Genomic DNA, 27,558 nt, shown 5'->3' with positions numbered 1-27,558 from the left:
CCTTGCTGTTATCTTGCCATTTTTTGGACCTGTCCTGAATAAAAAACGCGGAATCCTTACCTGAAAGTTAGAAGTCTTCATTCTGTAGTCAGTTAAGACAGTATTAACAAAGCCAAGACCTTGAAAGACATATGATTAATATAGCAAATAATCAACTGGGAAATCAAGCACTTTAAAAATTAATGCCACAAAAGAAATCAATAACAAAGAGAAAAGCATTAGAAGGTTCAATTATTAGTAAAATAATCCTAGCACCATTCATATTTGGGGAGATCAGTCTCAAAAGATTTCTGGAGAAGATGCCTCTTCAAAACATTTTTCAAAGCCAGCTAAGAACATGGCCCTGGTATTGGGAAAAACTGCTGCAAGGCAATGAGGAATTTTGGATAGCTGAGTATTGATGAGCTAAACTGAAGGCTCATGTAACATCCTGGAAATGTATGTCTATAAAATAAGATTCAGGGCAAGATAGAAAGGAACTGCCAGTTAGTATGTAAAACTATGATTGGTTATCAAGTTTAGGTTATCAATTATTTGAAAAGACATATAATTATATATGCATTTATTAATTGTATTATATACCCTAAACGATGATGAGGTTTAGAAAGGAGTGTGTGATATTGAGCAAAAAGAACAAAACTGGAAGCATCACACTCCCTGATTTCAAAATATACTACATAGCTATAGTAACCAAAACATCACAACACTGGCATAAAAACAGACGTGTAGAACAATGAGACAAGATAGGAACTCCAGAAATAAATTTATGCACTTATAACTAATAATATTCAACAAAGGTACTATGAACACACCATGGAGAAAGGAGAGTCTCTTTAATATATGGTGCTGGGAAAACTGGATACCCACATATAGAATAATAAAATTAGATCCTTATCTCACACCATATATAAAAATCTGCTTAAAATGGATTAAAAACTGAAATATAAGACCCCAAACTGTGAAACTCGTTGAAAAACCATAGAAAAAAAAGCTACATGACATTTTTCTGAGCAACGATTTTTGGATATAACTTCAAAAGCACAGGCGACAAAAGCAAAGATAGACAAATAGGACTGCATCAAAATAGAAAGCTGTTCTACAGCAAAGGAAACAATCAACAGAGTAAAGAGAAAACCTACAGAATGGGGGAAAGAAAATATTTGCAAACTACACATCTGATAAGGGGTTTATATCCAAAATAAACAAGGAACTCAAACAACTCAATGGCAGAACAAACAAAGAATAACAAATAGCTCAATTTAAAAATGAGCCATGACTCTAAATTTCTCTAAACAAGATATACAAAATGGTCAATAGCTATATGAAAAAATGCTCAACATCACTAATCATTAGGGAAAGACAAATTAAAACTACAATGTGACATGACCTCATACTTCTCAGAACGTCAAAAAGACAAAAGAGAACAAGTGTTGGTGAGGATGTAAAGAAAGGAGAACTTGCCTGATGTTGGTGATAATGTAAACTAGCCAGTATTTAAAACAGTATGGAGGTTCCTCAAAAAAAAAAAAATTAATGAAACAGAACTCCTAAGTGATCCAGCAATCTCACTACTGAGTATATATCCAAAGGAAATGAAATCTGTATGTCAAAGAGATATCTACATTCTCACGTTCGCTGCAGCATTATTCACAACAGCTGAGATGGAATCAATCTAAGTATCCATTGATGGGTGAATGGATAAAGAAAATGCTGTATGTATACACAGTGGAATACTATATTCAGCCATGAAAAAGGAGGAAATCTTGTTATTTGTGACAACATGGATGAACCTGGAGGACCTTATGTTAAGTGAAACAAACCAACCAAAGGAACAAAGACAAATATTGCATGATTGCCCTCATAAATGGAATCTTAAAAAGTTGATCTCATATAAGTAGAGAATAGAATGGTAGTTACCAGGGGCTGGGGTAGTTGGTGGATGGTGGTTGGGAAGATATTGGTCAAAGAATACGAAATTTCAATTAGATAGGAGGAAGTTAAAGACGTCTATCATACAACACAGAGACTATAGTTAGCCATATATTGTATTCTTAAACAATGCTAAGAGAATGAATGCAAAATATCCACAAAAATGATAACTATACGAGGCAGTGCATATGTTAGTTACCTAGACCTAGTCATTCCATAATGTATATAGACTTCAAAACAATATATTATATATAGTGAACAAATACAATTTTGTTTGTCAATTAGCAAATAAATATATTACTAAATAAAATAGAGTTTGTGTTGCCATGGTTACTGTAACCCTAGCAGGTTTTAGGGAATTGTTGATAATAGTAGCTAACACTAAATGCTAACTGCTAAGTACTTCACATACATTTTTTTCCATTTAATTCTTACAATAATTCCATAAGAAAACATTCTTCATTTAGAACAAAATTAGTCATCGTATGTCTATTTTCAATACAGATATGATTCATGTCACATTCTCTTTTGTAACTTCTGCTGCATAAAAGGAAAGAAGAACTCTATAGAAATTGAAGTCAATGGAATTACTCTAATTAGAAAAATAAAATCCATATAATCAATAAATTAACAATGGCCATTTATTGGCAAAGCAGGGAGCTAATTGCTTTATACATATTATCTTACAATGCACGCTATTATCTAATACAACATGTGTGAAGCTAGTATCATCACAATTATTAAAATATCGTTATTTTTAAAAGGGGGAAACTTGTGCTCTAAAGAATTATGGGCATGATCATAATTCCTCAATGTGAGTGGCAGATCCATGTTTTTCACTCAGTTTTGCCTAACTCCAAAGTCTATTTTTCACATCTTGTAATACATTCACCTGAATCCCTCTAAAATACATGCCCAAACGCTAACCCCTGTGTGATGGTTAATTTTATGTGTCAACTTGATGGTGCTAAAGGATGCCTAGATAGCTAGTAAAACATCATTTCTGGGTGTGTCTGTGAAGTGTTTCTAGAAGAGATTGGCATTTGAATCAGTACAGTGAGTAAAGAAGACCACCTCACCAATGTGCGAATCATCCAATCCATGGAGGGATTGAATTTAAAACAAGGTGGAGAAAGAATAAATTTCTTCTTTCTGAGTACCTGCCCTCAGATATCAGCACTCATGATTTTCAGGCCTTTAGAGTTGAACCAGGATCGACACTAGTGGTCTCCCATAAGGGTCATTTAGATATCCCCTTGGTTCTGTTTCTCTGGGGAACCCTGACTAATATACCTTAGCACCTGGAAATGTGATCTTATTCGGAAATTGAAAAGTTGGATTTTTGCAGATATGTTTAAGTTAAGGATCTCAAAATTAATCATCCTGGATTTGGGTGGGCCCTAAGTCAAGTGACTGGTGTTCTTATAAGAGAAAAGAGATTTGATTTGAGACACTGAATGGAAGGCCTTGTGAAGACGGAGGCAGAGATTGGAGTGATACCACCAAAAGCCAATAAAAGCCTGGAGCCACCAGAATATGGAAGAGGCAGGGAAGGATTTTTCCCTGGAGCCTTTGAAGGAGGTTTGGCCTTATGAATACCTTGATATCAAACTTCTGGCTTCTAGAACTGCTGAGAGAATAAATGTCTGTTGTTTTAAGACACAAAGTTTGTGGTGATTTGTTTTGGCAATCCTGGGAAACTAACACATCCATGAATGAAGATCTAAGATAAACAGCTGATAGGAAAATGGAAAAAAAAAAGAGCTGATCATGCATAATTTTTAGAAAGATATGCTGAAATAAAAAATAATTCAAGAACAAATTGAATGCTAAAAGAAAACTTTCAGTTATCAACTAAAGAGTCTCAACCTAAATAGTGAAAAATCTAACCTTACCTCCCTTAAGGAAAAAAATGTAACAACCTATAGTCTATATTGTAATAAGGAATAAATTCTATGGACAAGCTCCAATTACCAGTGTAAATTTCTTTGAATCTTATCATGATGAAGATAATCTCTTGATCTCTATTGCATTTAAACAACGAAGTGAAATATGTTTTCTCAGATATTCTGCTTTCTAATATCTCCAAGCCTCAGGAAGGCACATCAAAATGCTGCTTATATAAATAACTCTATAAATAATATTGTATTTTTATACGCTCATTTTTTACAATAGAATGAGAGCTTTCTTTATAAGGAAAAGCTCTAATAATATGTCTTTTCATTGCCTGCAGCTTTAAACATTTTCAGAGGCAGAAACTATAGTAATAGCAGTTTGCAAATGAAGTGGTTTGTAAATCTTAAACTGCAATTTTCTCCCAAACAAAACAACAACTAAAAAATATGCTCTCTAAGGAGAGATGAAACTGTAAAGACTTTTATTTGGCATTCAGATGTTGCTGGATATGTTTTCAATAAAGAATATCCTCCCCTTAAATAGCACCTACATCTTTCCACCAAAATCTTTTCTTGTATATTGTCTGTCCACAACGGGAGTGAGGCTTACTATCGCATGCTAGTTAGATGCATTATTCATTTCCTTTCTGCTTATATATTCCACAGTTTGAAATTTCCTCCAGAATTAAAAAAAGTAAATCGTCACGGTCATAGCTACAATGTGTCTCTTGTTTATTACACCTCTCCCAAACAGCCAGTGCATTTAATGATACACCATTTACATTTAATAGTATTCAGACATATTTGGCACATGTTTTATTATTTTTTCTTATAAAGCTTGAATTTTTAAAAAAGCCCCACTGATTTTTGTACCATTTAACATGTATTGAAAATTATTTTTTAATTTGAAAGATATAAAGAAGTATAGGTAGCATTTGCTTCCTATATTTCAGAAAACTTTCTCTGATTTTTCAATGATTCATTTAAATTCCTATTATTAACAGAAAACACAGTCTCATTTCAGTTGGTCTGTGTCTCAAAATCTAATGTCCCCATCTCCAGTCTTGGCCATTCTTCCCATTCACTCCCCAGAACTATGGTTAGTACCACCAGAGTGTTACCAACATCATCAGCAGCAGAGCATTTAATTTAGATTTCATCGGAGCTAAGTAAAGCAGACAGCTGAACAAGAGAGAACAGTACTTTCTCAATGGGGTAATAGAATAATGAGGTTTTTTTCTTATATAGCTAGAAAGCAGCATGCTATAGTGAAAGAGGATGAGCTTTAGATTTATTCCAACTTAATCTATACTGCTGATCTTCCCTCTCCGTGGATAATTACTTCACTATTCTGAGCCTCATTTTTTACTTAGCTGAAAAATAGGAATAAGGATGTTGCAAGGATGAAATAAAATAATGTATGTAATAGCACAGCGCTCAGAACATGAATGATAATCAGTTACATGGTAATTACCTCCAACTAACTCACACACTTCCACAACTTCGTTTTTTCCTTCCAGACAATACCAACAACTGAACTGCAGCAGTGTGGCAGAGGAGCCAGTTGGCTCCATATATCATACCTCATGTAGAATTTACAGAATGAAAGAAATTTAAAGACAGGTCAAATGCTTCATTTGATACCATTGCTCTTTATTGGCAAATGTGTAGTAGAATCAAATCCATTGATTTGTAGTCTGGAATAGGAATCTTCTAATTATGTTTCCAAATCATAAAAATGACTGTTAATGAAAAAAAAATCAAAAGCATGCTCCAGTAATGGTTGCTGTTCATTATTATGGCCAGGTATAGAACATACATCTGAAATGAAATACTTTTGATTTGGGGAATTCAGGATCAAACTTGGCTTTGGGTATCCTTGAATCCAGCTGCAATCAAATCAAAGCTTTGAGACGTTTTTGAAACGGAAGCAGCAACATTGTGAAAGATCAAATAAAAAAAAAATCAGTGCAACTAAGAATCGTCTTGTGAATTTTTAGCCATGGTGGTACCTTGCATAACAGCAGGGTCTGCAGTGAATACACAGTACAAAAGCTGATGAAATGGCTCCCTGAAAGCAGGAAGGTAATGTTTTGAAGTCTGAAGAGCATCTAAAATGGGACGTGCTTGACACCTATATTTCAACAGAGAAATATCCAGAGAAACAAAGTGGAGGCCCCCCGGATCACTTTTGCAAAAGGTCTTTTACCGGCTTTAAGTCTCTCTGAAGGGTTTGTTGAGAATCCAGTCCAAAGTTTCCCAAGGAATTTTCTTCCTGGATTCCACTTTTGAAAGAATTCCCTGCCATGCTTTGCCACATGCCCTCCTAAAATAGATAAATAAAGGCTAGAATTTATAAGAAAGAAAAGAGTTTAGCACAAAAGCCTCTAATATTCTAATATTGGATCTAAAGCTTCTGATAATGGGTCATAAATGTCATTTTCTATAACTTTGCTTTTTTAAACAATTCAAATTTAGAAAGTTTAACATGGTATTTGTGGGCTACTTATATTTGAATGAGTAGATCATTTGTGGTAATTCTGATTAACTTTTGGGTATTAAGAACATGGCTAGAACTATACCTCCCTAAAGTACAATTTTTTCCTATAGAAAAATCAGATTTGACATATCATCTCAACTTACACCATCTTGTCCAGGAGTACAGCACATCATAAAGCTAAGGATTGCCTTCAGTGATTTCATTCTGATGTTTTAAAGTACTTTTTTTTAGTCTCTTGACCATCTGAATCAGCATTTTTCTCAGACCAGTATCTGATTTTCTAACAAACTCTGTACAAAAAGGAGATACGGAATCCCTTAGGGCTTCCCTAATTTGGGGGAACATAACCTTTTTTTGATAGTATCTTCACAATATCTACTAGAGTTAATGAACTGGAGATTGCATAAAGGGTACTGTAAGCAGGTATAGCCCATATCCTGGTTTAAATGCACACTATTCCTCTTATTTTGGGGCCATCCCATTTGAATTAGCCTCCTTCCCTTTTGGAGCTCGATCACAGCCAGAGGAGCCAATTAGTGAGTGGAGGGCATGCACCTTGAGGTTAGAGTACTTGGGAGCCCCACAAGACATCTCTGGCCTTGAGCTTTATCATGTCACAGCAAATACGCATGCTCTATGTGCTATTAGCTGTTCCATGGAAACAATTTGGGGAACATTCTGTATTCCATCCCACTTTCAGGAAATTCATAATTCTCATTATAAAGTCTAACAAAAATCTATCTAGTTATTTTGGCCAAAAAAAAATTTCTTTTTCTCAGATAAACGTCACTGGACACCAGCTTTTCATGAGATATAATTTGAAAAATGGAGTTCTTGACTCTGTGTCTATAGCTGAAGGACCAGTTTTCTCAGCGTTGTTCTGAGAGCTGCAGCCTTTTCAAGAAGCTCAGTTCAGCCTGTGTCCGGTCCTCCTCTACACTTTGTTATTGTCAGTGCACTTTACAAAGCACTAGCTCCATATGGAAGTGAAGCAGGATATTTCCCCGAGCCTTTCATGGAACTTGCAACCGGGTGCCTCATTTGCCCAGCTCACAGCCGTCAACTCCTTGCAGGAAAGAGCATGAAATGAACGAGGTGAGAACTGGAGTGCGCAAACACTGGAACCAACTGGCTGCTTCAGCGCAGGCAGGAGCCAGCTCCACTCACTCGGATCCGCTGTGCTCCACCACTCATGGGAAGGAGCACACGGGTAAGTGGAGGCAGGAGCCGAGAGCCAGTGCTTTTGGGCACCAGCAGGAGCAAACTTCATGCAGGCCCCGTGGCAGAGTCTGGCGTGATGCCCATGACCCCTGAAGCTCCAGAGGGAGTGTTACAGTGCTCTTTTAGCTCTGCCATCCGTGGACGGCTTGAGTGTTAACAGCTGAGTCGTCCCTCTGCCTACTCACATGAGGTGGCTGCCCTCCAGCAGGGGCACAGGGCAAGTGTGACAGCCTTTTTTATCCACACTAGTGGTATCCAGGCTCTTGCCTGGAATTCAGGAGAAATGAGGTCATATGAACAACCTGAAGGATGGCAACTGTCGGGGATTTTACCGCCAATGGAAGTGGCTTTCAGTTGGAAGGGGAGCTGAAAAGCAAATGGAATGGGAAGGTAATCTTCCCCTGACGTCTGGCCATCTCTGGCCAGATTCTTCTCCAAAGTTATGCTGTCAAGCTCTCCCTCTGAAGTCAAGCCACTTCTCTCCAACATCCAGCCACAGTCTCTGATGTCCAGCTGCTTCACCTCTCTCTGCTGGTTGAGTATGAGGTTTTTATAGGCACAGGATGGGGCAGGGCCACACATGGTTTTGGAAAAGGAAATATTTGAGCCAGAAACAGAGATGTAAGTTCTCACTTTGGACTGTGTTCCCAGGCTTGAGGGTGGGGTTTTGTTGGGGATCCACCCTTTTCTGCCTAGAATTTCTCTGCCTCCTGTCCCTATCAGAAGGAGAACGTCCAGGGCATTCACATCCCTGGCGAATTGGAACACGGACCTCAGGTCTTCCCTTTATCCCTGCTGCCATGTGTTCAGGATTAATGCAGGACTTAGACCACATGGACTCAAGAACCCGGAAATTTAAAAAACAAGAAGAAAACAGAAAATCCAGAATTACAGGAGACTGTTTCAGAGCTTTTCTCTGTATATTGTGGAACACATTACCCCACATATTTTACACATTGACATTTTCACTTTAGTCAGAAGCTATTAATAACAAAAGTTTCAATACATGAAAGAAAATAGAATATGAGACCAGTAATGCCATCTCTAGAAGATGGGATCCAGGGAGAATCTAAGCTCCCCTATTTCTAGAAGAGTACAGAGAAAGCAGAACCGTGGATTACCTGCTCCTGCTGCTGCCTCACAAACAGATGACGGGTGTTAGTGAAATGTTTGTGCTTAGGATGGAAAACATAATTTAGTTTATGGTAGCGAATAAATATTAGGGGGGAGTCCAAGCCTGATATGGTCATGATATGATAGCTGGAATAGCTGGAAGGATGGAGAAGACCAAGAGATGAGTCCAGGAGGCGGACAATGGTGGTGCCAATGGGAAACAAAAGAAGAGTGGAATTGAGCATGCAGATGAGAGGCTGGGGCTTGCCCGGGCACCCAGAGCCCCTCCAGGATGGCTGGCTGGGAAGTGAATTGGAGTCATTGTTTCACTACCAGTAACGACTACCAATAAACTAGTGTCACAATGACCTAAATAAGAATTCCCACATCCAGCTTGGGTAAAAATGTAGGATGGTGGTAGCATATAGTTGGTCAGGGTACAATATTGTCTAACAGTAGTCTTCGAAAGCTGTAACAAAATACATAGTTTTTGACACAAGAATTCCACTTTGGGACTTATTTTAAGAAAATTAATTAGGGACCTATGCAAAGATATGTTACAAGGCTGTTCATTTTAACATAGTAATATAGATTTTTGATGAAATATGATTTTCACATTAACATTTATGGGGCATAAGTGTATTTATTTGTTTTGAAAGTTTTATGTTGCATTTTGTTATATGAAGTAACAAGATTTTGTGTAAAATCTTATTTTGTGTCCCTTAACAGTGGGGGTATGTTCTGAGAAATGCATCATTAGGTAATTTCATCTTTGTATGGACATCATAGAATGTACTTAAACCCAGATGGTATATCCTGCTACACAGCTAGGCTATATGGTATAGCCTATTGCTCCTAGGTTATAAACCTGTACAGTGTGTTGCTGTACTGGATACCTTAGGCAACTGTAACACAATGGTAAGTGTTTGTATATCTAAACATAGAAAAAATACAGTAAAAATTAATATAAAAGATAAAAAAAAAGCACACCTATATAGGGCACTTAACAAAAATGGAGCTTGCAGGACTGGAAGTTGCTCTGAGTGAGTCAGTGAGTGGTGACAGGATGTGAACACCTAGGGCATCACCGCACACTACTGTAGATGCCAGAAGCACTGGACACTTAGGCCACACTAAATATATAGAAAACTTTTCTCTTTGATAATTAACCTTAGCTTATTATAAATTTTTACTTTATAAATTTTAATTATTTTTTACTCTTTTATCACACTTAGCTTGAAACACAAACAGCCGTACAAAAATATTTTCTTTCTTTATATCCTTACCTTAAGATTTTTAAATATTTTTTCAATCTTTAATTTTTTATTTTTACTTTTTAAACTTTTTTGTTAAAAACTAAGACCCAAACACACACAGTAGCCTAGGCCTATAAAGGGTTAGGGTCACTACTGCTGTCTTCCACCTCTACACCTTGTCCCACTGGGACGTTCTCAGGGGCACTGACACCCATGGAGCTGCTGTCTACTGTGATAACAATGCCTGCTTCTGGAATGGCTCCTGAAGGACCTGCTTAAGGCTCTTTTTAAAGATGTGTCACTCTTTTCAGAAATATGTTTATGAAGTTTTGCTGGGTTTCTTTCTTTCTTTAATCATAGATTTTCTTATCAGTAGACAATGCACTATGAACATTCCTCTATGAACGAACCATTCAGTTTTGGGGTCCACGTTTTTAAACTTTTTAAGGAGTTTGTTGAGGTCTGTAAAAACTTCTAAACCTTTCACTGTGAATTTCCTTGGGGGTTTTCCTTTTCTTCTCCTGCAGTTTCCTTTTCTGTTGCCTCTTCTTCAGCTATATGTTCTATTCCAACAACTCCTCATTAGTCAATTTCTCAAGAACCTCCAGGAGCTCCTCGATGTCATCCTCATCCACACCCACGTTCAAGTTGTCTGCCAGTTCAACCACCACCTTGTTGATTTTTCCAACCTGCTCATCCTGAGCAAATCATTTGAAGTCATTGATGAACCTCTTGAGTATCTTCTTCCAGCTGCCATTTATACACTCCTTAGTGACACCACCCCAAGCCCAAGCAAGATTCTTGGTGCAGTCAGAGATGTCGTAATCCTTCCAGAATTGCATTGGTATCTTTTATTTTTTTATTTTATTTTTTTTATTATTTTTTTTTTTTGCAGCAGCAGCCTGGGTAAAAGTCCTTCTCAGGTAATAGGCCTTAAAAAGTGCTTTAATGCCTTGATGCAATGGTTGAATCAAAGAGGTGGTGTTTGGAGGGAAAAACATTACTTTGATATTGGGATGGAGATCACCAATAAAAGGAGCATGTGTGGGACCATCACCAACAATAAGCAAATCCTGAAAGGTATGTTATTCTCCAATAGTACTTCTCATTTTGCTGGCATAGTAATTCAGAAGGGCGTCTTGGAAAGGAGCTGGGTCATCCATGACTTCTTATGGCTCCTCTAGTTTACCAGCAGTGCGTGTTTAGTGATATGCTTGGAGACCCTGGGGTCGTCACTGTGCCATATCATTAAAAGTTTCTATTTGTAGCCTGCAACATTTCTCCAAAGTGAGATGGTTATTCTGTCCTTAAAAACCTGACATCCAGCATTGACTTGGCCCCCTTAGGGATAATAGTGCTTTAAGGCATTGGTTTCCAGAATACAGAGGTTTCCTTCATACTGAAGATTTGCTCTGACAAGTAATTCCCCCTCACAATCAACTTATCACTAATCAACTGAAAACTAGAGTTTTCAGAAATTCTTCAGCTGTCTTCACATCAGCACTTGCAGACTCACCACTTACTTTCACATAACGTAATGAAAAACAGTTCTTGAATCATTTAAACCACCCAGAGCTAGCAGTAAATTCAACATTGTAGTTGGGTCCAGCCTTTTCTTTCAACATTGCGAACAAACTTCTTGCTTGGCTGTGATCATCATGGTGCTGGGAGGAATTCACTTCTGTGACTGGTCTTCATTCCAGGTCATTAGAAGTTTCTCCATATCTGATATAGGCTCTTCCTGAACTGTTGTTAGTCTCATTGCCTTCAATGAAGAAGATCTTTTCAGCTTCCATCATTTTGTTCTCATTCTTTGAGATCATGGCTATGGTGGAATGGGACAGACCTGACTGGTGAGCAATAACCATTACTGATTTTCCATCTTTGTACCTCTTATTCACTTTTAATTTAGCTTTCAGGTCAATCACAGGACAGGGCCTCTTTCTGACACATTAGCCATGAATTTTGATGATTAAGGACCGTGATGAATAAAATAATGTGTAATTAAATTAAGCACAAAAGAACATGATACAGTCAAGAGACACAGTAAACATGGGATGTATGAGGCTGCTGCTGGCATAACACTGAATACGGTTTTACAGCAAACCTAAAAAGAAGTACAAGGAATACACCTTAAAATAACAATTAAAGTATAGCATAGTAAATACATAAACCAGTAACATAGTTGATTTTCATTATCAAGCATTATATACTGCTTGTAATTGTATGTGATATGCTTTTATATGACTGGAAGCACAGTGGGTTTGTTTACACCAGCATCACCACACACACATGAGTAATGTGGTGGGCTACAGCTACGACAGCTGGGACATCACTAGGTGTTAAGAATTTTTCAGTTCCATTGTAGTCTCCTGAGACCACCGTCACACGTGTGCCTTGTAGTTGACCGAAATGTTGTTATGCAGCACATGACTGTACTTGAAAGCACAAACAAAGGAAAGGTCTAACCGACTAACGCTGGAAATGTTATTAGTCTTCTTTAGGTAGTATATTTCGGGTGATTTTTGATATCTCATTTCTGATTGTTTTGCTAAAGGTAATATTTCTCTTTTGTCTGAGTTTTCTGCTTTCGTCCTACAGCTAAAATAAATTAGTTACTTTAAGGAAAAATAAGGTCTATAAAAAGAGGTAGTGTTATGACATACTCATGAGAATGGCTCAAATGATATAGATACACTATTAAGTGCTGAGAAGCATACAGAGTAATGAGAACTCTAATATTCTCATCCTCTGCTGATAGTGATGTAAACTGTTAGAATACACAAAGACATGGAATCAACCTAAATGCCCATCAATAATAGACTGACTAAGGAAAATGTGGTACATATACACCATGGAATACTATGCAGCCGTACAAAAGAATGAGGTCATGTCCTCTGTAGGAACATGAATGGAGCTGGAGGCCATTATTCTTAGCAAACTAACACAGGAACAGAAAACCAAATACTGCATGTTCTCACTTATAAGTGGGAGCTAAATGATGTGAACACATGGACAGACAGAGGGAAACACACACTGGGGCCTCTCAGAGGGTGGAGGATGGGAGGAGGGAGAGGATCAGGAAAAATAACTAATGGGTACTAAGGTGATGAAATACCTCGGTGATGAAATAATCTGTACAACAAACCCATGGCACAAGTTACCTATGTAGCAAACCTCTGCCCTTGTATCCCTAAACTTAAAATAGAAGTTTAAAAATAAGAGGAAGGAAAAGAATATATATTCACCACAAGACATATTCAAGAATGTTTCTAGTGGCAGTATTTGAATTTCTTCCAAACTAGAAGCAACCCAAATATCCATCTACGGTAAAATAGGAGACAATTTGTAATATACTCACATACACAGTAATGAGAATGAACTATACTATCTTCTGCATAGGTGAATCTGTCAAATTTAATATTAAGCAAAACAGGCTAGACACAAAACAGTATATCTAATACTCTTAAATTAAGAGTTAAACTTCATAAACAGGAAAATACACCTATAGTTTCAGAAGTCAGAATAGTGGTTACTTGGTGGGGTAGGTTTCAGAAAGGGTTATAAGGGGTTCATTGGGGCACAGGTAAAAATTTGGTCTGGATTTTGGTTATGCAGTGGCATCTACTTTGTGAAAAGCAATCAAACTTTGCATCTACAACTCTTACACATACCTCTGTAAATATTATACTTTAATCAATGTGACTTTGTGAAAATAATTGGTTTCAGGTTGGAGATAGGAGCTAGAACTATGGGCCACCTGGCACGTACTGTATGGGAGAGAGGTAAATAACTTACAAGGGCATTGCAGTGTATTGATTAAGAGCAGTGGGTTTAGAGCCAGATAAAACTAGATTAGATTCCCTGTTTTCTTGCTTCTAGCCACGTAGCAAGAGGAAGAGTGAGAGAGGAGGCCGGATACAGGCAGGGCCAGACCATGAAAGACCCTGTAAAGTCAAGATAAGGATTTTGGTTTTCACTGTGTGGTGGGAAGCCATTTCTATTTACAGAGTAGATTCAAAGAGATTTCCTAGGAATAAAAGAAGAAAAGGAACTGTACTGGACCGATAGAGAAGAACAACAACAATAACATCTCCGAATGCTTCGTTTTGGCTGCTGCAAAATAAGCAGCCAAATGTGCTTATTTTGAAGGCGAAAAAAAGGCTGAACTGAATTCCTAGGATAAGTCTCAAAATTGTGGCAGAAAAACCAAAAGAATGCAAGGAGAGCAAGACTCCACAATCTTGAGGCAGATTTTTGAGACAGATTTTTCTCTTTATGTAAGACCTTGCATACCTCACAGCAGCTTTAGAAGTAGGTGAAATGTTATTTGGGGCTACGAGGAAACAGCGTTCTCTTCTTCACTCTTCCTGTCAGCCAGAGATGAAACAAACAAACCACCACCAACAAAAACTCTTAATTCTTAGGGGCGAGATGAACAATTTAATCCATCCGTCTTGACTATACGTTCTATCACTTTTTAATACAAATACAAAAACAGGATTAGAATCCTGATAGTCACACTGGGAGAACTGAGAGAAAACCAGTATCTGCTGTTTAAGCCATCTAGTCTATGGTACTTAGTGATGGAAGCCATAACAAAATAATGCACTAGTTGACATGAAAAATTTCTATTAATTTAGTACTCTGTTAATGTCTTGTGGTTAAACACGTTTTACTACACAGAAAATTGAACTTTGTTTTTATTTTCCAGAGAGCTTAACAAAGTGACTTACACAAAGTACATATTCAGCAAATGTTGGTACAAAGAATTAATGAGTTATAGAATGGATAAATAAGTAAATAAATGAACCAATTCCACATTTAGAAATTAAAGGGCTTTAAAAGCTAAATATTAGGTGGTGGATATATTAATTTGCTGGACTACAGTAATTATTTCACTATGTATGTATATATGAAAACATCATGTTCTATACCTTAAATATATACAATAAAAATTCATTCATTTACACAAAAGCTAAACTGCATTTGTAGTAATAATTGCAAACAGTATGCAAACTGGTAATTTCAGGATACTACTTCGTGAGGAAACATAACTGAAAACAATTTGCTACAGGCAGAAATTGTTTGGCCACGTTGCTTTTAGCAAGTAAGATGTCCATGTGGAATCTGAAGAAAATCAAGAACTAGGTCTTTCATCATAGATAATGTCATCTTTTATGTGAAGAGAAGTCATAAACTCTGTTCTTTGACCAATTCTACTTATCCAAAGAGGAAACAAGTTTTGGTGTTCTGATTTTTAGATTACATCACGCTCTTCACAGTCAATTCCTTAAACCAATGGGAGTTCATTTATCTTTTTCTAACAACTTTGCAAGGACAGGGTTACATACAGAGCCACATGCAAGGATCTTTAAAACAGAAACATTCAGCTGGGCACGGTGGCTTACGCCTGTAATCCCAGCACGTTGGGAGGCCAAGGCGGGTGGATCACGAGGTCAAGGGTTGGAGACCAGCCTGGCCAAAATGGTGAAACCCGTCCCTACGAAAATTACAAAAATTAGCCGGGCGTGGTTGTGGGCACCTGTAATCCCAGCTGCTCAGGAGGCTGAGGCAGGAGAATCACTTGAACCCGGGAAGTGGAGGTTGCAGTGAGCCGAGAACGCGCCACTGCACTCCAGCCTGGGCGACAGAGCGAGACTCGGTCTCAAAAACAAACAAACAAACAAACAAACAAACCAGAAACATCCAGTGAGACAAAAAAAATCACGCTCTAAAACTAAGTAACTTTCTGTTTTCTGCAAACTAAAGTATGTCATAGAACTTTTAAGAAATACAATAAAAAAATTGGAGTTATATTCAAATCAATGTAGTCTGTCGGCTTTCGTTGGTTGTATTAATTTGCTAGATAGTTTGAGATGATCAAATGGCAGAGGCCAATAGCTAGCCTGTAGAGATGTCACTGAAATTTTGCAGACCACCCCACCTTTCTAATTTAATAAGTGTACTAGCCCAAAGGAATGGAAGACACAGAAATAATGAACTATTAAGCTAGCAAGTTATCACCAGTAGGAATAATTCCTACAACCAAATTCTTAAGGTAAGAAGTGTTCATCACTCACTCGCACCCATACAAGAATACCATCTGCTACCTGATGGTATCACTTGTCTCTTTGCAAAAAGAAGCCTTTAGGGATGGGAGGCCTGATGTTCTAGTCTAATTATAAGTTAGATAATTATATCTTGCTTAGCTACATTTCCCAAGTAGTTTTATCTGAATTTCCTGCCTAACCCCTACACCTTAATTTTATTTCCTACTCTAACTCTTGCCAAGAGCTGCAATGCACTGTTAATCAGCTCCTTGATTTGGTAGCAGATGTAGGGACTGTGCCATCCCATCATAGTCTAAATGATTCCTGAATACATTGGGACATTGCCCTTCAGGCTGTGATAGAGATGGAGAACCTGAAACATGGTTTGTAAAGGGCAAAGGATCCTTGAGGTGGAGAGGGTACTTACTGGGCAAAGTGTGTAATGTTGCATCTACATTATGTCAGATCGGGAGGGTTTGTGTTTTTGATTAATATGTGTGCCATCTTGGTATTATAGGAAATAAGTTAAAAAGTGGTATTAAATGTTCTAAGAAAGGAGTGATTGGCCTTTCTTGCAAACCTTAAAGAAAACCAAGACTCAGAGGTATCTCCTGAGAGTTTAGGATGATAGACTACTTAAGGAGAGGTCCTTGGTAATTTTATTAGAGACAAAGGAAGGGCAAATGGCTTTGATGACTGCAATCTAACTCAAAGTTTCTACTAGGTAGGGCTACGTCATGGTGCAGGCTGTAGAATAGCTAGTACTTATATCAAGAAGCAATGGGCCAGGCGCCGTGGCTCACGCCTATAATCCCAGCACTTTGGGAGGCCGAGGTGGGCAGATCACGAGGTCAGGAGTTCAAGAACAGCCTGACCAACATGGTGAAACCCCGTCTCTACTAAAAATACAAAAATTAGCCAGGCGTAGTGGCACACACCTGTAATCCCAGCTACTTAGGAGGCTGTGGCAGGAGACTCACTTGAACCCAGCAGGCAGGGGTCGTAGTGAGCCGAGGTCATGCCACTGCACTCCAGCCTGGGTGACAGAGCAAGACTCCGTCTAAAAAAAAAAAAAAAAGAAGAAGAAGAAGCAATTAGCAGAGAAAAGAGCTGAATTTGGAAATCAGAACAGAGGAATTTTCTCCAAAGCCTTGTCGAGGCATACAACAGGTACTACTGAAATACCACTACTAAATTGTACTACCCATGAGTTCAGTGAAGGTTCGTTAGACAGCACAGACTGTGGCTCAAAGAGGGAGCTGAGCTTCACTGGATTGGGCTAAACACTTCATTAGCCAAATTTGATTTTCAGAAATAAAAATGCACCGCTTAAAATTAAAATTCAAGAATTTTAGAAAAGAAGAATTACAAAAAAAAATGACACGGCATTCTCTAAAAAGTACACCAAATATTCGATGGAAATATTTGGATTTTTGAGACAAAATAAAACACTGAAGTTAGGGGCTGGGTTAACTGGAGGATTATATCTACTACATGACTGGAAGAGGAGGGAAGTGCATATTATAGGTAAAGGGCCCAGGAAAGATAGGTACATCATGGAGAAATAGGTTTTCAATAGCCATAGGCAGGACAGCAGCCCCTTGCAAACAGAAGTCTGGGTATAAGTAATTATATCTTAATGTGTGTGTTTGTTGGGTTGGTGGGTGTGCAATAGGGGGGCATGAGAATTCTGACAGAGGAAGAGTATGCTGTGATTTCATCTGCCCCATATCCCCATATCTCCCTTAACAAAGACCTCAACAAAATATATTTTTAGGGCCAATATTAGGCATAATGTGATTTCAGAGGCTAACCAGTCTCCTACCATCTTACTTCTCTTTAAGCAAAGGCTGTTTGAAATGTCTTTAGTAGAAGATTAAATCTTTAATAGGCCTTGTCTTTAACTGGCCTTAAGGGACCAGGTCTTATTTTTTAACCTCTCATAGAAGTTAGCTTAGTGCCTTAAAGAGAGCAGATGATCAATATGCACCAGTTCAGAGAATGAATGAGTGAATGGCCAATTTCAAAATGGAATATGAAGGGTACTAAATGCAAAACCATACGCACGAGGTGATGTCACTAGACTTAAATGTTTTTATACTAAAATTTAGTTAGAAAACAAATCCAATGCATCTGGTGTCAGAGTCTTTCTGGCCTATTATAGGGAAGAATTTAAAGCGAGACAAGGGAGCACTGGGTCTCCTGTGAAATTGGGAAGGGTGAGGAAGAAGGGAAAGATATGTAGACCTTGGGCTAAGAGTAATCTGAAAATCAGAGTGCCAAAATCTTTTTCTCTATGGATAAGTGGAGTTGCTCAGAAAACTGTAGGAGGAAAAGGTTGTAGGAAGCAGCAGGAAGAGAAGGTTCTACATTGAAAGGAAAAGGGTACAAAGGAATACATTGAAAAAGTCAGTCTTCTCTGAACAATCTTGTTAAGAGTTAGCTTTATTTATCAAAACAGTTTGTGTCTACATTAAAGCTGTTTTTAGGAGTTTGTCTTGTGTTGAGCAAAATGGCATAACTCACATCACCACTGCTTTGCACAGCTCTTAAATAGATATGCATATTTTTCACACGAGTGGCATAGCTATAAAGAATCTAGATCCCAATGTAATAATTAAGTATCAGTTTGCATTCTGAGGACATCCAGGTGGGCTTTTGAGAGAACTAATGAATCAGAGGATAGGAAATTATTATGAATATTTGCAAACACTGAGAAAATATTTATGCTTTGTTATTTTGTTTTCCACCTCATTTCTGTTTCTTTGTTATTCTTTCAAAACAATCTCTTAGGGGAAAAAGGCAGTATGCAAATACAGCATCGAGTGATGTTTTATGTTACATCACCTCATTAGGCAACATCCGGTAAGGTTTCAGGAGTTCTTTAAAATAAAATCTATTCTGTTTTCTTCTTCTCCTTCCCAGGGGTAAATCTACTGTCAATATTAAACAAATTTAATATATGTGGCTATAAATTAATTGTATTACTCTCTAGTCACTCCCATTTGTATTTCTTCTCTCTTATCTTCCTTTGTATTATTACATGATAGCTTTCCAGTAGAACTCCATGCAACACACATGGCTTGATTTTAGTATTTTTAACAATAATGCACAGATAGATAATAAGGTTTATCCACCCCAGTGGTTTCCTCTATGTTGGTAGTATTTATTATCACAACAGTTTCCAGGGAGAAAATGGTTTAATATGTCGTAAGACGTTTCTGCTGAGCATGTGTTTCTATATCTTCACAGTCAATTTCAAATTGAAATCTCTAATATGAAGAAAATGATCAAAATATCTATAAAAGCTACCAAGAAATAAAGTACTCCATCTGCATATTCCATTTGATCTCCATGGGGAGCAAAAATTCAAGTTTCCTGACAATGAATTCCAACATCTCAATCATCATCATTTTTCCCCTTCTTAGAAATGAGAAAAGATTGAGGATTTAGTTTTATAGAGGCCACATCTTCTGAGTCCACCCAGATTTTCCTTTCCTTTGTCTTTTCTACTCTTTGGAAAGGAAATTCAGTTATCTGTGTGCCATAATATAGTGTTAAAAAACTTTTTGCCACAGAGATGTAGGATTGGAAAACATTTAAGCAATCATCTCTGTTGTCTTACATCGTCAGTGCTGGGTTGAGGGGGGCCTCCCTGAAGAGTTCCAAAAATAAGATTGTGCCTTGTGAGTTAAACTAAAATATCAACACTCAGTGGAAAGATGGGAACAAAATTACCACAAAGAGAACTAAATAGCTCCCAGGCCAGCAAGACCCCACTGTAGCCTGATTGAGTACATTAACAGAACTATAGAAAAAACAAAGGGTCAGTGGGAAGCTGGAGGGGAAAGCACAGTAAACAAGATCAAGTTTGTGCATAGCCATCGGCAGCCTAGGAGAAAGGGCTCCACAGTCCAAAGATGACCTGTTACCCTGAACTTGCAATCCTATCATTTACTCCTCTTGTTCCAATTCCAAGCCCAAGAAGCAAGCATCTGATTTTAATTTGGCTTCCCATCTGGTAGCCCTGCAGGGGGAGATTTGGCGGGGTAGAGAACAGAAGTGTCCAGTCCTTTCAGCAATACACTTTTTCATTACAAATTAATACACTGGCATCCTAGTTTACAATTTGGCTCTCCATATACCTTACCCACACAGTGTGGTGGCCAGACCCTCCTCTCCCTTTAGCAGTTAGTCTTCTTGTTTTAAGTTAATTTAATGGCATTTTGATTATGGATTTCAGTCTCACAGACTGTGATTATGCTTGTGATTGAACTAGAGTCTGTGGATAAGTCAAGTTTTGCCCAAAGAATCTGACTTAGGTTTGTGGAAAATTCATTAAGGTAAGGTCGGCTATCTTTTTTTTTTTTTTTTTTTGGGACGGAGTCTCGCTCTGTCTCCCAGGCTGGAGTGCAGTGGCGGGATCTCGGCTCACTGCAAGCTCCGCCTCCCGGGTTCACGCCATTCTCCTGCCTCAGCCTCCCAAGTAGCTGGGACCACAGGCGCCCGCCACTACGCCCGGCTAATTTTTTGTATTTTTTAGTAGAGACGGGGTTTCACCATTTTTGCCGGGATGGTCTCGATCTCCTGACCTCGTGATCCGCCCGCCTCGGCCTCCCAAAGTGCTGGGATTACAGGCGTGAGCCACCGCGCCCGGCCAGGTCGGCTATCTTAAGAGACAGCGTTGGAAACTTCACCTCATATAATTTCAGCTACTAGAATTTGAGGCAGCAAGTCAAGTTTCTTTTCCTTTCAGTGAAACTTCTAAACCCGATACTCAGGCAAATATTTCATTTACACTATGCTAAGAAGTTGCTTCAGATAAAATCTCTGCTAAATCCTTTCTAATACAAGTGAAGGCCAATGTCTTCATTAATCTACTTTCTCATTAAAAATAACATTTTCAAGGCAGTTAACATTATTTTTAAGGGCTTGTTTTATATACCTTTATCCTACATATATAACCCCAATTATATTTTTCCTCCTCAAATTATTCATTCTTTTTTCTATTCCTCTGAATCATGCCTGCACATATTTTATATATCTTACTGGAATTGCTTTGTTTCTATATTAAGGTGAAACTAGAAACAGGATAACAGCAATGTTGAATTGATGGAAAAAAACAGTTCTTAAAAATATTGGTTACATATTTCCACAACATTCTCACCTCAGATCATTTTTTAAAATTTACATTTAGTCTATGTTACCTTAGATCTTTATCTCCCATATTTCACCGAAGCCAACCCCTCCCATTGAATTTGTATCTGCTCTTGGTAAATTACTCTGGTTTCAGCTGTATGACATTACACTTCATTTTTATTTTTTTCTGCCTCTGTCACTTTTAATCTTGGATTCACTTGTAGTTAATTTAGTGATGACAGTCAACTTTTAGTTACCTACAGCCTGATTATTCTCCCCACATATGTTATTTTCAAATTTAATAGCAAACACCTATAGCATATAAGTAATCTGATTTGTTTGCTTTTCAAATAAGCTCTGTGTATTGTTATTTTCAAGAAGTCTGCCCCACATAGTATAGAAGTTCATCAGAGCTAAATGTCTCACTTCAGGGACATTTTGAGTAGAAGAATTGTGCTTGAGTAGTTTCTTTTTGAAACCACGAGTGTGTGTTTGTGAGTGTGTGTGTGTTATTTATATATTTAAACCACACACACAGACACATCATGTTATGTTCCCACACAGAGACATAGGCACTGATACATCCTCCATTGGGTGACTTCAGATATACACAGGCATTCTCATTTCATTGTGCTTCACAGATCATATGCTTTATTATAAATTGAAGGCTTGTGGCAACCCTGCTTCGAGTAAATCTATTGGCATCGGGTTTTTTTGTTGTTGTTTGTTTTTTCAATGGCATGCTCTCACTTTGTGTCTCTCTGTCACACTCTGGTAATTCTTTCAAAATTTAAAATTTTTCATTATTATTACATCTGTTATGGTGATCTGTGATCAGTGATCTTTGACGTTACTATTGTCATTGTTTTGGAGTGCCATTAACTGTGCCCATAGAAGATGACAAACTTAATTGATAATTATGTGAGTTCTGACTGCTCTACTGACCAGCTGATCCCTCATCTTTTGCCTTCTCCTCAGGCCTTCTTATTCCTTGAGACAAAATAATATTGAAATTAGCCCTGTTCATAACCATAAGATGGCCTCTAAGTATTCGAGTGAAAGAAAGTCACACATCGCTCAATTTAAATCAAAAGCTAGACATCATTAAGCTTAGTGAGGAAGACATGTCGAAAGCCAAGATAGGCTGGAAGCTAACCCTCTTGCGCCAAACAGCTAGCAAAGTTGTGAATGCAAAGAAAAGATTCTCAAAGGCAATTGAAAGTGCTACTCCAGTGAACAGATGAAAGATAGAAAAGTGAAACAGCTTTATTGCTGATATGGAGAAAGTTTTAGTGGTCTGCATAGAACCAACCACAACATTCCCTTAAGCCATAGCCTAATCCAGAGCAAGGCCCTAACTCTCTTCAGTTATATGAAGGCTCAGAAAGGTGAGAAGTCTGCAGAAGAAAAATTTGAAGCTACCAGAGGTTGGTTCATGAGATTTAGGAAAGAAGCCTTCTTCGTAATGTGAGAGTGCAAAGTGAAACAGCAAATGCTGATATAGAAGCTACAGCAAGTTACCTAGAAGTTCCAGCTAAGGTAATTGATGAAGGTGGCTACACTAAACAACAGATTTTCAATCTAGATGAAACATCTTTCTATTGGAAGAGGATGCCATCTAGGACACTCACAGCTAAAGAGGAAAAGTGAACGCTTGGCTTCAAACCTTCAAAGGACAGCCCCTTATTAGGGGCTAATGCAGCAGGTTACTTGAAGATGAAGCCAGTGCTCATTTACTTTTGCAAAAATCCTAGGATCCTTAAGAGTTCTGTTAACTCTACACTGCCTGTGCTCTAGAAATGGAACAACAAAGCTTGGAGGACAGCACATCTGTTTACAACTTTAACAGGTTTACTGAATACTTTAAGCCCATTGAGAGTTACTGCCCAGAAAAAATAATAAATATTCCTTTCAAAATATTACTGCTCATTGACAATGCACCTGGTTAGGCAAGAGCCCTCATGGAGATGAACAAGATTAATGTTTTTTCATGCCTGCTAATACAACATGAATTCTATTGCCCATGGACAAAGGAGTAATTTTGACTTTCAAGTTATATTATTTAAAAAATAGGCTGGGCGCGGTGGCTCACGCCTGTAATCCCAGCACTTTGGGAGGCCAAGATGGGCGGATCACCTGAGGTCAGGAGTTCGAGACCAGCATGGCAAACACGATAAAACCCCATCTCTAATAAAAATACAAACATTAGCTAAGCGTGGTGGCATGTGTCTGTAATCCCAGCTACTCAGGAGGCTGAGGCAGGAGAATTGCTTGAATCCAGGAGGCGGAGGATGCAGTGAGCCAAGATTGTGCCACTGCACTCCAGCCTGGGTGACAGAGTGAGACTCTGCCTTGAAAAAAGAAAAAAGAAAAAGAAATATGGGCCAGGCATGGTAGCTCACGTCTGTAATCCCAGCACTTTGGGAGGCCCAGGCGGGTGGATCACCTGAGGTCAGAAGAGATCAGCCTGGCCAACATGGTGAAACCCTGTCTCTACTAAAAATACAAAAATTAGCCGGGCATGGTGACGGGCACCTGTAATCCCAGCTATTTGGGAGGCTGAGGCAGGAGAATTGCTTGATCCTGGGAGGTGGAGGTTGCAGCAGTGAGCCAAGATCACACCACTGCACTCCAGCCTGGGCGACAGAGTGAGACTCAGTCTCAAAAAAAAAAAAAAAAAAAAAAAGAAATATATTTTGCTAGGCTATAGCTGCCATGGATAGTGATTTCTTTGATGGATCTGAGTAAACTACATTGAAAACCTCCTGGTAAGGATTTGCCATCCTAGAAGCCATTAAAAACATTCATGGGAGGAAATCAACATATTAGCAATAAAAGGAGTTTGAAAGAAGTTGATTCCAAACATCATGAGTGAGTTTGAGAGGTTCAAAACTTCAGTGGAGCAAGTCACTGCGAATGTAATAGAAATAACAAAAGAATTAGCATTAGAAATGGAGTCTGAAGATGTAACTGAATTGCTGCAATCTCATGATAAAACTTTAATGGATGAGTTGTTTCTTATGGCTAAACAAAGAAAGTGGTTTATTCCCAGACTGGAAGGAAAAAGAATAAGAAATTGCTCAGGGATAGAAGGAGGAGACAAATCATTGCCATTGATTATCTTATACCTTCGTCATCAGGTTTAGAATATATTTTTGGATATTGCTAACACCTATATTTAAACAATTATTTTAGAACATTCCGATGCCAAAAAAGTATATTATAATTTTTTACTATATTAATCTACCTTTTGGCCATCTTTTATTAGTTTGGAGAACATTTGTCTAGTTATTCCAAAATTCAAGTCATTTGTGAAAATCTAAGAGACCTATGTAGCATAACCAGCATTTAGGAGGTACACACTTTTTCTCGGCTTTGGTTGATACCATTTCATTAAGATTTCTTATATTTACATTAGAACCTTATAAATTGTTCTCCCAGTTCTCTTTATGCAAATTTATAACTGTGATTAATGGAGCAGAAACCTGTTTGTCCTCGTTTACATATTAAGCTTCTTTTGGTATACTTCAACGTCTCATAATGTTGATCCTCTTAATTTTGCTGCCTTGATTACCTCACCATTTTGAGATTTTGAAATAAAAACAAAATAAAATATGTTTGGTTTCTAGGTAGGCTTAAATATCTGCCTTCTAAAGAGAAAGATTAATTGATTTTAACATTTGAGCCAACTAAAGTAACATGAGTTTATAAAATTTATGAAATACTAAATATAGCCAACAGGCTGGCTGAACAGACCTGCAGAGTGGACTGTTTGTTCTAGTTGCTGTTGCTGTCCACCAGGGCCTTGCCTTCCTGCGCAGGACCTCCCTCCCCTCTGCTTATACACCCAGTGCCCTCCTTTCTGCTCCTCAGCGTGGTTCCTCCCCTAGTGCCTCTTCCTCTAGTCTGCTCTCCCTCCTACTTACAAAATCGAACTGAGGGTGATTTCATATTTTTGTTTGTTTGTTTTTGACAGGAAGCAAGTCCCTACCCTAATGGAGTAAGTCTCAATATCTCTGATAGTTGAATTTCATGTCTGTATCAGTGTCCTGCTGTTCATCCCCCCAGGTGCTGCCCACCGGGCTCTGCCAAGCTGGTGATTTCTGATCTTTCTCGTTTTAACAGGATCTCGGAGAACTCTATCAAAAGCAAATTTATAAGGTAAGAATGAAACACTGGATGTGTCACTTGTGTTAGGCTTAGACATAAGAGTTTCTTCTGAAAAGATCAAAAAAAGAAGAAGAAGAAGAAAGAAAGAAAACATCAACATTTCGTTTCCATATCTTATGTCTGAAAAGAAGGGGATAACCTTTTACAGCATTTTTCTATTTAATCAATATACAATTCATATGTTCTATTTGAAATACCTTGATATTAAAAACATGAAAGTCAAATGCTCTGTAGAGAGAGGCATGTTTTTTTCGTTTCTTTCACATCAAATGTTTTTCAATATCATTTCAAACAAATTGTTATATAAACCATATTTTTTAATATACTTGTCAGGGCCAATAGTGGATATTGAAAAAACATAAAAAGGTAGGATTTTTCAGAAAGAAGTTTGTGCAGCTCTTATAAATGTCTCTTTTGGCCTACTACTTAACAAAACAACAAAAAAATAAAGTTTGGGTCTTTAACTATGCTGGAAGCCCATATTAATGTTTCAATATAAGAAATTAAAAATTCCCCAACTGATTAACTTATTAGGTTGCCTCATTCTCTTTCTTCCTTCCTTTCCCTCCCTTCCTTTCTTTCTCTTTCCTTTCTTCCCCCCTTCCTTCCTTTCTAACTTCTTGAGGTAGAAAATATATAGAGTCTAGAGGTACATAAACCTAGATTTTAATCTTGGTTTGGACTCTCAGCACGGTATTTACTGTTTTTCCTTGGGTGAATTAATTAACCCTTCTAAAGTTATGTTTCCTCAGATATAAAATAGAAATTCCGATATACAACTCACAGAGATTTGGGGCGGAATGAGCCAATATATATAAAATGCCCAGGTGAACCTTTAATAAATACTACTGCTATTTCCTCTCCCTTCATTTATATCATGATCTAATTTGGAGATAATTATTAAGCATTAGTTATCTAGATATATAGATGACAATATATTTTTAAGCCTGAATTTCAGGTCCAATACCAAGAGAGAAAAAATACCTGAGCATGTTTTTATAGAGATTTTAAGATACGGGATGAAGGTCATAATGGCTGTGGCATTCCTAGTCAGCTAACACTCTGCAACATTATTCATTGTCCTATAAAAACTATTTACCCAGCCACTGGTGTTGGTAAATTGTAAGCAAACAATAGGTAATAGAATCCAACTTCCATCAGTGTTACTAGTATTTCAGAGAAGTCTTATCATTCATTGGTGGGAAAATACTAGCTCGGGAAAGATACAGTCTCTGAAATAAAATTTATGGATTATTTTATTCATAGGTGCTTCTGTAAGGATGAGTTTCTTCAACCGTATTTCTCTGAGCATCTTTAACATTACCTTTATGATGCATGGTAGTGGAACTTGATTCAACTGTAAGTTAGAAAACATTGCAGAGGAATGTTGATGGCAAGATAGGGCTACATTGCAGCTTTCCGAAGGTTGTAGAAAGAGGATGTTTGTATTTGGCTCAATGGAGGTGCTTCCCTTTAGATAAGAGAATGAGGAGTTAATGGACACATGCCATATTCATTAAAATGTGGAATGAAGCCATCTTTTCTGAGCCAACTTTTCTGAAACAACACAGAGAAAAGGAGTCTTTGTCTTTTGACTTATCTCCCTGAGTTGATCTACTTGATTCTCTCAAATTGCCATTGTTCTAACTTTGTTTGGCAATTTGACACTCAACCAAACTGTATCTTCATTAGAAATGAAAAGATAGGACAATGGAAGATCCCTCCATACCTGTAATAGGTGGATCTCACCTGACTATGCTGACCTAGAGAGGCATATGTGATACAAATGAGGGAATAAATCATTGCTATTCTAGAAATAGATTTATCAGTAGTTCATATTAAAAGTCATCTTTGTTGACTGTGATGGTCGGTTTTATCTGTCAACTTAGCTACGGGGTCCAGTTATTCAAAAAAACACTCTTCCAGGTGTTGCTGCATAGGCATTTTGTAAATGTAATTACAGTTTAAGTAAAAGAGCATATTCTAGATAATCTGGATGGGCCTGATTCAATCAGTTGAAAGGCCTTAAGAATAGAGCTGAGACTTCCTTGAAGAAGAACTACCTCCTGTGGACATCAGCTTCAGTTTGTGTCTGGCAGTTCCAGCCTTTCCTTCCTGATAGTGTGCCCCAGCTTCCGACTTGCCTTGCCAGGCCCCGCTGTTGCATAAGCCAATTCCTTGCAATAAATCTCTAAATATATCTTCTACTTGTTCTGTTTCTCCGGTTGAACCTGAACTGATATCCCAGCTAATAGTACTCTGAGACCCTATTTTCTCCCATT

General features: G+C 37.9%; 1 protein-coding gene and 1 long non-coding RNA gene across 3 annotated transcripts in view; both read right to left on the bottom strand.

The window, feature by feature from the left end:
* Positions 1-27,558, bottom strand: part of CNTNAP2 (contactin associated protein 2) — a 2,304,198-nt gene that overhangs the window by 742,398 nt on the left and 1,534,242 nt on the right. The window lies entirely within an intron of this gene.
* LOC105375556 (uncharacterized) lies at positions 5,457-6,922 on the bottom strand. 2 transcript variants are annotated; one of them, NR_133929.1, is made up of 2 exons: positions 6,468-6,922; positions 5,457-6,150 (listed from the first exon to the last, which is right to left on the bottom strand). It is a non-coding gene; the product is annotated as an uncharacterized LOC105375556 (long non-coding RNA). The 2 variants fall into 2 exon arrangements; NR_133930.1 differs by having other exon boundaries at positions 6,825-6,922.

The sequence above is a fragment of the Homo sapiens genome, chromosome 7, assembly GCF_000001405.40.
Source record: "Homo sapiens chromosome 7, GRCh38.p14 Primary Assembly".
Taxonomy (NCBI): domain Eukaryota; kingdom Metazoa; phylum Chordata; class Mammalia; order Primates; family Hominidae; genus Homo; species Homo sapiens.
This window is presented reverse-complemented; position numbering and strand designations above follow the sequence as displayed.